General features: G+C 37.0%; 1 protein-coding gene and 1 long non-coding RNA gene across 2 annotated transcripts in view; one reads left to right on the top strand and one right to left on the bottom strand.

Annotated features, from left to right (window-relative positions):
* STK38L (serine/threonine kinase 38 like) overlaps nt 1-13,282 on the bottom strand; it is an 81,674-nt gene that overhangs the window by 32,155 nt on the left and 36,237 nt on the right. The window lies entirely within an intron of this gene.
* LOC124902905 (uncharacterized) lies at nt 276-13,157 on the top strand. The gene is made up of 3 exons (XR_007063254.1): nt 276-2,401; nt 4,138-4,236; nt 13,074-13,157. It is a non-coding gene; the product is annotated as an uncharacterized LOC124902905 (long non-coding RNA).

The following is a 13,282-nucleotide window of genomic DNA, read 5'->3' as shown; positions in this document are numbered from 1 at the left end:
AAAACCTTTTATAATGCCTCTTGAAAAAAGCACAAAGAAATAACACATGACTCACAGAATTATGCTGTTCACAGTTATGCTTGCAGAAATGGGAGAGAAAGATGTATGTTGAACTTGGGGTTTGGCCTTGGAGGGAGCTGACTGTCTGCCAAGGGGCCTTGTCGAGCAGGCTGCCCTGCTCGGTCTGCCAAGCGGCAAGGTCTGGCCCTCAGCTGCCAGTGTCTCAGGGCAATCAAATTCTGGAAGTCACTTTATCCTAACAAAGTTCACAAAAGACAAATATACAAGACAGAATGCAGTTTACTGATTTACACAGTAAGACACTGAGTAACAAGAAATTAGGTTCAGAAGATTGCTTGGCGAGCATGGCATCAAAACAAAGAGAACTGTTATTCAATTTAAATGTTGAATGGGATTGGGATAAGGTGGAATCTAAAACACACAAGGCTGATGGCTATCTTGCCTAGAGCACCTATGTCCACTGGAAAGTGGCTGTAGGAGATGGTCTGCTACAGACTAGGCCTTCCCAGAATGAAGCCAAATTGGGGGGCTAGAGGTGGACAAAACTTTTGAGGAACATTAAGGAACAAAACTTTTGAGGAAATTTTTGTGAAACATAAAGAAGTGTTAGGGAATTCAAAACAATTCCAAACAACAGAAATTGTCTGCATTAACCGTATAAAAATAGAGCCAGGCATGGTGGCACATGTCTGTAGCCCCAGCTACTTGGGAGGCTGAGACAGGAGGGTCATCTGAGCCTGGGAGTTCAAGGCTGTGGTGCACTATGGTGGCGCCTATGCATAGCCACTGGACTCCAGCCTGGGTAACAGAGTGAGATCTAGGCTAAAAAAACAAACAAAAAACCCAACAGTATAGAAATACATATGAGGTCATTTTAGATAAATATTTATGAACCTGAGGTCTTCAAAAAAGAAGGTAAATAGAAGATGAGGTTTCTTCCATCATAGGAAGTTGTAATGAGTTTTACTCCAAAATCGGAAGTGGATGTCAAGTAATGAAATATTACTTTTAGACTCTATATAATTTAGTAATGATTATGATGTTCTTTCCATTGTAGTTACACATACATGTATGTCTTGTTTAAAAACCAAATAAGGGCAAAATCTCCATCTATTTATCTTTGTAATGAAAGCATCGCAGTACCTGGCAAAGTGATGAGCACACAGTAGGCAGTCTGTAAGTGATGGTAACTCAACTCTAATGTAATAGATTTTAAATTATATGTGTGTTTCATATATAATAATTTCATTTGGGTTAAGAAATACAGAATCATTTGGTATTCTATTAGCCTTCAGAAATAAATCTTACTTAAGAAACACATTTGCAGAAAAAACAAAAATCCCACCCTTACTCATGATTATACAATATCTTGTATAGTTTAGCTTTAAAGATTAGCTTTAAAAACAAGATTAGCTTTAAAAACAAGATTAGCTTTAAAAACAAGAAAAATTTGTTTCCTTCTTACCAGACACAGACAGACTTTTAAAAATTTAAATTATACAAAACTAAGAAGTGATCAAATTATTACAAAGAATGGTCTAGATGACTGGCACTTATTGTATTGCAAATGTATTCCTTTAATGGATTTAACACTGTTCTTTTTGTTTTATTAAAGCCCTTTCTTTGGCCAGAAAAAGAACAGGATACAATTTGCAAGTCTAGAATTCCTGGACTGATAAAAACAACACAAGGTGCCCTTGAATTTCCTGTTCACGTGTGTTTTCTCCAGACTGCTCTATTCATTAATGGAGACACTACCAATAGTTAAGTCCAACATTCTTTTTTATCAAGCCTGGGGAAAGGAGATAACAAATCTGGCACTCAGGCCATTTATAAATAGATGTGGTATCTCCAACCATTTACCATCAAATTTCTAAAGGAAGAAAATAGAACTGCTTTACCTGGCTGTAAAACAAATTATTTAACTGGTGATTTCACCTTAGTTTTCACATACTGCATTTCAGAGGAAGGAGTGTCCTTAATGCTACTATATTGCCTTGTAGTATAAAAATTCGCCTAAATTCAATTCACTAGTTGCAATCATAATGCCCTAGGCTACAATAAGTCCTCAGATTGTACACTGTATAAACTGGGTCCCTAACGAAAGGGCAGCTACAGCTTCTTTCCTCTCTGAGGCACAGTCTAAAATGCAAGAAATTCATAGGTGAAGTTTCAAATCCCAGCATTAACTTTCACTAATTGTTTTATTTTCAACCAACATTTATTGCAGATATATACCATGTTGACTGTATGAAGTGCTGAGAATAAGACTGATAAAACACAGTTCCGGCCCTTAGGGAGTTCATGATCTTATGGAGACACAAAGTAGGGAGAAATCAGTGCTTCAAGAGGAAGGATAATCAAAGGTTTAATACAGAAGGTGATGCCTGAACTGAATCTTGGAGGGGATGGGGCTATAGTAAGAGTTCACCAGTCAGATGGACTCAGAGGAGGAAGAGCTGTAAGGCATGAAATACACTGACACACTTAAGCATACCGATAGACTGAGTATATTTGATTAAATGGCAGAAGATGAAGGTAGAAATAAGGAACTTTTTTGTCATGTTAAAAATTATCCTGAACATAAATGGGAATCACTCAAGGCTTTTAATTTAGTGAAAACCTAACAGCCATTAAAGAATATTTATTGAGTTTTTACCCAAGTACCCAGAATTCTTCTAAGAATATTACATTCTTAGAAGCATTTAATTCTCCTAACCAGCCCTCAAATCCTATCTGATTTGCACTTCGGATAGATTATGCTGGTACAGGGAGGATGGCCAAAAGGCTGGAAGTACAGATCAGACTAGAGGAAGTAAATCTGCTCAGGAGGCTTAATAATGAATAGTCAGAGATTACAACCTGGTAGCCTGCAGAATCATTTTGTTAGGCTTGTGCTACAATTTAGAAAGTAGAAGGTTTCACATGAAAATCCAGGTTTCTGGTTTCTCCTGAAAAGTCTGATCTGTCCACAATGAGCTCTGTCAGCTCCACAATGACAGCTGGAGCAGAGCTGCAGCCGGCCCCTTACAATACAACATCCCACCCGTCCACCAACTCTCCATTCCCACGTGCCCAGACTCATTCACTTTTTATTACCCACATTTTATTACCCACCTGCTTCCTTTACAGCACATTTGAGATTACAGAATAGTGAGGGACTAATTAAGATAGTAGCAGAAGTGAAGAAGCCTCAGTTAGTCAGCTGGAAAGACTAAAGTCTCTAATTATCTCTAAGTTTCAGATGTGGATGACTGGGTAAATGATCAGTAAGGACAGAAAGTATAAGAAAAGCTAGTTTAAGGCTAGTTTAAGAAAGTTAGTTTAAGGCTGATCCTGTCTGAGTTATTTAACCTGAGTCAGGATCCACATTTCTAAAATGGAGATCATAAATGCCAACCTTATAAGGTTGATATGACGCTTTGATGGTGGCAGAGCACAGGATGAAAGGCCAGATTGCCTGGGTCTGAATTTTGGTGCAGCCATTCACTAGCTGTGTCACTTTAGGCAAATTAAACTTTAAACTTTCTGTGTGTCAGTTTCCTGTTAAATAAATATAATAATAGCCACCTTGTGTGCATGCTTATTATGATAATATAAGACTTAAGATAATTCTAAAAGTTAGTACTTGTAAAAGGACTGAGATACGTCATGTGTTTGATAAATCAATAAATCAGTAAAAAATATTTTTAAAGTATCTCCTAGCACATATTAATGCTCAAAAATTATTAATTTTCTTCCCTTCCCTGCTCAATCTTCCTGCTCATCCCTCCTGCCTTGGGCTGCTGCCATTGTCAGTTAGTTTGTAAATTTAATCTCTAATAGACATTCCCTCTCTCTTCTGATCTTAGCCTACTTCTTTGACAAATTAGATTACTTCTAATGGAGAGGGGAGAGAAATGTAGCAAAAAGAAATATTTAAAGTAAAAAAAGAACTCTTGGTAGAAGCCTTACTAGAAGTTAGTAGTGATTTGGGGTAGAACTAGAGGTAGAGGTGTTCCAGGGAAGAGCTAACCCTTTCTCTCACAAAAGAGTGATTCTCATGAGGCAACACACACCAATTTATTTGTAATCTCTTTACTGTATCTGCTGTTAATAGCTTTTGTTTTTATTTAGCGTGGCCCTCTCCATGTGGCGTATGCCCTGATCACTAGACCAGAGGAATGCATTTCATAAACAGACACCCTTGTCTTTGCTCCTTCTGTGAATCATAAGGTTGGTGATGATGGCACAGTGGTGCTGAACTCAACATTAGCATTTTCATTTTCAAAACTGTTTTCGAAATAGTTTTCCTATGCACAAAAATATAGTTCAATGGTTGAGTACCTGAAAGCTTATTTGGCTGTAGTAATGATGTTCATGGCAGAATACCTGAGTTTATTGGTCCAAATAATTACTAAAAATCCCTCTGAACTTCATTTTTTTTTAAAACTTGCAATGAGAAGGGGAAAGTGTTTATAAACCAAATGCAAACAATTAAGAGGTAAATTTACCAAAGCAGCAATTTTATTTAAAATTCTATTTACCGATCTTAATGTTTAGATAAACTATCACCCTGTCTTTCTCAAAAACATTCAGAAAGAAGCAGTCTATTCTTAAAATATTTATAAAATTTAATTGTTCTATTGCTATATGCCTATCTGGTAGTGCACTAGATTTTGTCTGCAAAAAAATGTTCAGCTGAATCAAGTCATAGTTAACTTTAAAAAATTACCTCAGCAGAAATGCCACATAACTTCAAATACTTATAATCTAGCACCTCGATGGGAAAAAAAAATCAATGCCAACTTTTAGATAGTATGGGCATCCCTAAAAGAATTTTAAATCAGTTTCTATTACTGGCACACACACGAGCACATACAGAAAAATATTTGTCTTGATTGATATAAAAGAGAAAAAAAGCCACAATTTGCAAGAAGGGGGAGTAAATGGCAGGGGGGAGGGAGATGATGGGTAACGAAGGTGAGGGGAGACCAGAGTGAGTATGTCAACATTATTTGTAAAGGAGGAAATATTCAGAGGTAAAACAAAATGAAAACAACTGGGAAAAAACAAATTTATAAATATATATATAAAATGATATATCTTTATGTTATTCATATTTAATTATAAAATATATACAGAAATTTATAGAATTTATAAAGATGAATTAAGTGGCCTAGGGAAACTTTTGGAGAGCATGAGAGCATGGTTGGGGGAAAGACAGATATTACAGTGATCTAGAGAATTTGGGGCCAACAGGTTTAAACTATGGCTCTGAATTGTGGGTTTGGATGAGTGAGATGATAGCTAGTGCACCCAGAAGGATCTATCCTTCCCTTTGCCTTGTCAGCTGAGCCATGCTTCCATCTATTAATACATCCAGTAACCCAATATCATGAGTTTTCTTCTATATTTTTCACTTTTGTTATAAAGAATATGGGTCCGTCAAAAGTAAGACGAAAGATTTTTTAAATAGGGAAATTTAAAGTTTAAAATAAATGTATGCTTTAAAATGTTAATTTTAAAGACATAAATTTAGAAATGGAAAAATAATCCTGTTCACAAAAGTAGCAAGGAGGAGGAGATGGAGTACAACATTCATAAAATATGTAAGAATAAACTTGGCTGGGCGCAGTGGCTCATGTCTCTGTAACCCCTTTGGAAGGCTAAGGCAGGTGGATGACTTGAGGTCAGGAGTTCGATACCAGCCTGGCCAACATGACGAAAACTCATCTCTACTAAAAATACAGAATTAGCTGGGCATGGTGGTGCACACCTGTAGTCCCAGCTACTCGGGAGACTGAGGCACAAGAATCACTTGAACCCGGGAGGCAGAGGTTGCAGTGAGCCAAGATCGCACCACTGCGCTCCTGCCTGGATGACAGAGCGAGACTCTGTCTCAAACAAAACCAAACCAAACCTTGATTTTAAAGTCTTCGCTTAGAATGAGGCAACATAATCATAGATTATGGGAAGAGGAGAAGAGGAGAAGACATTCAATTAATAGTACTGGAACAACTGGGTATCCATTTAGGGGAAAAAATCAAGTCAAGTATTCATTTCACTCCAAAATGCAAAATAAATTGCAAATGGTTCAAAAGGACACACATGAAAACTAAAGGAAGGAAAGAATGAAGGAAGGAGGGGAAGAAATAAAAGTTAAAAAAAATTAAACTTCAAAAAAATTAGAGGAAAATATAGATGGATAACTACTGGATCTTTGGAAGGAATGAGCTTTCTTAAAATGAAATCAGTACAATGAAAACTTGTGCTACATTTCATTCTACAAAAATATGGAATATACATATGTATATACTGTATATCAAACAAGATTAAAAGAATAATTTGGAGAAAAACACTGTAAAATAACAATGTCCATTATATCTAAAAGCGCCCAGATGTGGTGGCTCATGCCTGTAATCCCAGCACTTTGAGAGGCTGAGACGGGTGGATCTCTTGAGGTCAGGAGTTTGAGACCAGCCTGGGCAACACATGGTGAAACCCTGTCTCTACTAAAAATACAAAAAAAATTAGCCAGGCATGAGGCATGCGCCTGTAGTCCTAGCTACTCAGGAGGCTGAGGCAGGAGAATCACTTGAGCCTGGGAGGCGGAGGTTGCAGTGAGCCAAGATGTCACACGCACCATTGCACTCCAGCCTGGGCGACAGAGTGAAACTCCATCTCAAAAAAAAAAAAAAAAGTGTATCTAAAAGCATATATTTAAAATACATGTCTATTTATCAAGTAAGCTCATACATAGCTTTTTTAATGTTAAAGTCGAAAGGAGACAATAAAGACCCTAATAAATGGATACATAACACTGTTTGATAATAAACAGGAATAGTTTAAAACACATGAAAAATGTTCAATTTTACTAGTGAATCAAAGACACAGAAAATTTAAAATTATGCAGTATGTTCCCTATATGAAAGTAGTCACAATATAAGGGGAAAACACCCCCTTAGTGAGGTCCAGTCTGTTATGAGGTGCCTTTCTGTCCACCCTATGCATTTGTGTTAGCTGGCACAGATGTGACCCTTTCTAACAGGGAATACGGTAATTTATACCAAGAACCATAGAGATATTTTTTATTTTTTGACATAATTCCAACTTTAGGAGTCTATCCTATGCAAATAACCAAAATTGCCACAAAGATTTTTTTTTAATCAAAGCATTATTTAAAATAGCAAACGACTTAAACCAAATGTTTAAAATTAAATGAAATGATTGATGGAATGATGATAGTATAAAATACCACAGCACTGAAGAAAATTCTCCCTGCAAATTTTAACATGAAAAATAATGTTAAGTAAATAAGCAGGATACAAAGTTCTATTTTCAAGTACAATATGAACTCAACTATACAAAAATGGGAGAGGAAGTTAAATTGTGATGAACAAACAGTGTGAAATTACAGATGATTTAAATTTTGTCTTTTATCACTTTTTGAATTTTCCAAATTTTCAATAATAGGAAAACAACCATTTTATAAGCAGAAAGAAAACATTTAAGAGTGATCCTGGGAGAGTGCTGGATGTTTGGGGGCAGGGGTAAAGGGGAATCAAGTTGCACTTTTCAGCACTTAGAGGTGGTTTTTCAGGTACCACAGTACTCGAATTTTTTTTCCTATAAACCAAATTCTTAGTTCTGGTTTAGTGGAGAACAGCAAAGAACAGCAAAAAAAAGTTGGATGTCATGGAACAAAACTAAAGACAAATCAGAGAATAATAAAGGAAATTTTGAAGAAGTTTTCCAGTCATATCTTGAGCTTTTAGGGCAACAGTTTTTTGGTGGCTTATACCTACCTGGGCATATTTACGAGGGCTCAAACTATCACTCTCTTCTCAAATAGCTTTTCCACTGGTGACTAGAAAGGACCATATCAAAACCAAAAAGCAGGACAGCACAATAATCTTAGCTAAATTATCTTCAAGTCTTATTTAAGATAAAGGAAATACTCCTTCAAAATCATACAAAGAAGAGAGAGACAAAATAAATGTTCTAGCTTTAAGGAAGATGCCCACTCCCCTTTACTCTTTCCTTGCCTGTTTTAAGGGAGATAATGCCTGATTCAAAACATCGGTATGTCCAAAATACATATTTGGAGCTAAAAAGTGAAGGTTTGGTGTGACCAGAGAACAACTGATGAATGGACAAGGCAGGAAAAGGATGAGTGGTGAGAGGCAGGGACACCCTGGCAAAGGGAAGGGGAGGAGCAAGCTTGGGAAGCAGCCTGAACACATAAACCTATACAAAGCTTGGGCAGCTTTGAACACTTGCTTTTCATTTTCTTAAAAGTAAACTTTGAATAGGAATGAGAGATAGAGAGTGAGGCAGACAGACCAAGCAGACACTTGCACACACAACAAAACTTGAAAAATAGACTGAGTTTAAGTGAGTATATAAAATAAAAATTTCAAATATAAACTCAAATTTTAATTTTCCCATTCATTCAAAGCATTCAAAGCTTCTGCATCACTGAACAGCTTCAGGAGAGAGTTGTAAGCATTTCTCAGTTGTACCAATTCCTTTTTTATTTCTTAATTTTAATTTTTAAATTGCTGTGTTATTTTGTTTGCTGTTCCTTTTCAAATAAAAACCACCCCCTGAAAGAAATCAGACTAATGTTTTAACAACTTAAGAGCCAGAAGCAGCAGTCCTTTGGGGGTACAAAAATTAGACAAGACTAAAATTAAAATATGGTATCACGAAGCTCACAATTTTAAGACCTAAGTAGCTATGAGCTATGTTTGGTTATTTTGAGTCATTTAAACTCTCCCAAGAGACTTTTTTGACCATCACAACTGACCAAAAAAAACTGTTCCCAACTAAAAGCAGACATACCATGTGACTCATCAGACTCAGATATTGTGTTAAACACACAGACCACTTGACTTCCGCAACCATGAGAAAACAGAAGGCATCCATCCCATTAAGATACCAGAATACAAAAAACTTTGAGGCAGGAAGGAAATTTTTATGTGGTAATGACCTTTATCATTAATACCTGAACAGCTTACTACCTAAGCAATGAACAGGACCACACCATTTTATTGACTTGTGATCTTTAGAACACAATTCCGGATTATTAGGAAAACAAATCTAGGAGAGGGGAAAAATACCTAAAATGGAATAAAAAGTAAATTGTATAGTTGGTTGTCATCAAGGATATCCTGTAATTCAAGTAAGCACACTGGCAAACACTCCCATAAATCAGTTTATAAGTTCAATTCTATTTAGCAATTTTCTAGACTCTACTACAGGTCTAAGATTGCAAATTTAGTTCATCAAGAGGCAAGGCTGATAAAATCACAAAACTTGAATTCAATTTCAATTACAGAAGGTGGTCACCATTAAGTGATATACAGACCATCTTATCTGTCATTAAGTGAGAGAGACTATATTATCTAGTCCATCTCCCTCATTTTATGGAAGTGAGGCCCAAAGACATTTAGCTATTTGGTGGAAAACCTTGGATTAGTCCATGTCACCTAACCTTCAGGTGAAGCTCCCATTCTAGCTGAGAGTCCACAGTGCAGTGACCACTCCAGGACACTGTACTACCCCTGCAGCAAAGTTGGATATCAGAACACTGATAGCCAGCGCTGAGTCCTGGATTATGTAGCATCTAATAGCCCTAGCACTCATGTCCATATCTAACACTAAGTCATTGCTTCCTATCTCACAATTACCGATCTGTGGATCAAACAACTGGCTTCTGCCTGCTTTCTTCGGATGACCAAAGAATGACAATTTTATCCCAAACTTGCTGGAAACTAAAATATTATGACTAAAGGTTTCTTGAAAGCTATTAAGATTTCAATTACAGAAGTTGATTACCATTCAGTAATGTAGATTTAGTCTGGGACTCTACTTCTAAACGTATATTTAGCTGTGCGCCCCAAAGTTAGGGTCTCAAAATCTTATACAGTGTATGAGGTCATGGGAACTCCTTGTTCAGGACCCTTAGCATGAGGGCAACCTAAGTGTACATATATTCAGATCTCTGGAATATGCCATAGGTAGTGAATAACAGAGGGGAAAAAAGATTTCTAAAATATAAAAATGCACTATTTTCTTTCCAAACTGGATATTTTCTGCCCCATATATAAAAATAAAATGTTTCATGTAAAAATGTGAAAATATCCATAAGTATACAAATTGCAAAGTGAAAGTGACCTCACAATCCTACCTCCCATAATATCCAGTTTTAACTGTTGAGTGAGAGACTGGAGTTACACCCCCTGGATTTAAATTCTGGCTCTGCCACTTATGAACTGTGAGAACTCTCAGGGTGTCAGTGTTCTTATCTATAAAACAGAGATAATGACAGCATATGAAAATTAATAACTAATATTTATCGAGTGTTTTATAAAGCATAGGCATTGTTCCAAGCACTTAAAACATATAACTAATTTTAATCAAGTGACTGATTGATATGTGTTAAAGTCCTTAGAATAGTGCCTAAGACTCAGTCAAGTACTCATTAAATGTTAACTGTTGCTATGTCCTTCCAAAACTTTAATGCATAAACACACACACATAGTCTCAATACAAGTGGGCTATTAATACAAATAAGTTTTAATACAGTTTTAATACAAATAAGCTATTGTGTAAACTGCTTTTTTGAAAGGTGTCTACGATCTTGTAGACACTTTTCAATATTAATACAAATGGACCTACTTCATCTTTTTTAAGAAGCACATGGTAATAATAGTTGCTAACATATACTGAGTTATTTTGTGCTAGACACTGTGCTTTATGTGTATCATTTCACTTAATCCTCATGACATCCTTAGAAACCATGTGTCACTCTTCTGATTTATAGAAGAGAAAAGTGAGACTTAACTGGATTAAGTTATTTACCCAAGATCATACAGCTAGACATGGTGAAGCCAGCTTTTGAACCCTGGTTTCTCTTAAACTAAGCGATCAGCATACTGTACCTTCTGTTAAGCGCCATAGTTTTAAACTAATGCCCACTAACAGATGTTTAAATGGCTTCCATTTTTAGGGGGTATTTTTAGCTATGCTGTAATAAACATCAAGGATCTCAGACTATGCACTCTTTCTCTTATTTCCTTATTATATACTTCCAGATGTGCAATTGTTGAGTCAAAGAACATTTGCATATAAAATTCTGATATACACGGCCAGACTGCTTTCCAGAGAGACAGTACCAATTGACCATCAATAGTTATATGACAGCACCAACACTAGGCAATGTCCATCTTTTTAATTTTTGTCAGTTTGATAAGGTTAAAAAAAAAACTTTAGTTTTGCTTATACATTCCTTTGATTGCAACTACTTAAGCATATTTTTATATATTTTATGTAACTATTTCTTTTGTAAGCTGCATGATTTAAGACTGTTGCCTACTTTTCTATTGAAAAATTCATTCTTTGATTCCAACTATAATTGAACAATGTAACTATCACAGGCCATTTTAAATAGCTGATATCATACCATAATGCCAATATTTACATAATTTCTACTTATACAACAGAAGAAAAAGAGTGTGCTTTAGCTCATGCAGGAACTATATTTATTACATGAGAAGTAGACACTTTCCTATAAATCAATAGGATCAAATCAAAACTACTGTCACCTGACTCGAAAGTTGAGAATGTAAGTAGAAACAGTTTTCCAAACTAAGATTTTCTGTTATTCAGATGTGACATTAATACTTCATTGTTTATTTATTTGGACCAGCATATATCATTTCTTTTTAAAAATTAATGTCAGTTTACTCTGGTGTTTTGTTTTTGAGACAGTCTCCCTCTGTCACCCAGGCTGGAGTGCAATGGCGTGATCTTGGCTCACTGCAGCCTCAGCCTCCCGGGTTAAAGCAATTCTCCGGTATCAGCCTCCCAAGTAGCTGGGATTACAGGTGCCCGCCATCACGCCCGGCTGATTTTTTGTATTTTTAGTAGACAGGGGGTTCCACCATGTTGGCCAGGGTGGTCTCCAACTCCTGACCTCAGATGATCCACCCGTCTCGGCCTCCCAAAGTGCTGGGATTACAGGCCTGAGGCACCGTGCCTCGCCTCAATTTACTCTTTGACAGAAAATTTCCCAGCTTAGATCATGATTATCTGGAAATCAACTAAGCATTATCCTTATCTCCATCCTTATCACCACTGTTGTTGTCATGGATACCATTTATAAAACACCTTCTCTGTGCCAGGCAGTACTGTGTGCATTATCTTATGTAATCTTCACAACAACTCTATGAGGTAGGTACTATTTCTCCATTTTAGAAACTGGAAACCAGGGCACAGAGAGGTTATTTACCAGAGGCCTCTCAACTGGAAAACGTCAGAGCAGGGATGTGAACCCTGTTCACTCTAGAGCTGTTGTTCTAATGACCATGCCTACTTTTTACAACCAGAGTCAGTTAAACAAAGCTAAAGCCGGGCCGGGCGCGGTGGCTCACGCCTGTAATCCCAGCACTTTGGGAGGCCGAGGCGGGCGGATCACGAGGTCAGGAGATCGAGACCATCCCGGCTAAAACGGTGAAACCCCGTCTCTACTAAAAATACAAAAAATTAGCCGGGCGTAGTGGCGCGCGCCTGTAGTCCCAGCTACTTGGGAGGCTGAGGCAGGAGAATGGCGTGAACCCGGGAGGCGGAGCTTGCAGTGAGCCGAGATCCCGCCACTGCACTCCAGCCTGGGCGACAGAGCGAGACTCCGTCTCAAAAAAAAAAAAAAAAAAAAAAAAAAAAAAAAAAAACAAAGCTAAAGCCAAAAATAAATCTGTAGCTTCCTAAAGGCAACTCAAGATAATTACTGGTCTTCTCTTACATGATCACCTTATTTATTCTTAGTAAATCTTAAATGGTTTTATAATTCCTTGTTTTAAAGAAACTTAAAAGGATCAACTCGTCTAACCTTCTAACAAAGACAAGGCTGTGTTGCTGTGCCTGATTCAAACTGCCCTTCTTGCCCAAACAGCTCTGTACGCTTTTTAAAGAGTTTTATAAGCTGTTGGAAATCTATGCAATTATTTCAGACTATTTAAAATATGTGTTGTCTATCTTATGCTGTCTTCATTTACTTATCTAAATAGGAAAAAAGTATCAGAATGCTTTCTACATGAACAGGAAGACTAACCAACGTTGAATGGCAGCCAGTCTTATCTCCGTCCTTATCACCACCTTACCATGTCATCCTGGCGAAGATGCCATCACAGGAGTCAGGGTTGAAGTCCAGGTTTAAGGTGCATCTAGATGGGTTCCCAGGACGCCTGAAGTAGCCTCAAGAGGCCCAAAAGAAAAA

Source organism: Homo sapiens, chromosome 12 (assembly GCF_000001405.40).
Source record: "Homo sapiens chromosome 12, GRCh38.p14 Primary Assembly".
Lineage (NCBI taxonomy): Eukaryota > Metazoa > Chordata > Mammalia > Primates > Hominidae > Homo > Homo sapiens.
The sequence above is the reverse complement of the archived record's forward strand: the minus strand, read 5'-3'. Positions and strand labels throughout refer to the sequence as shown.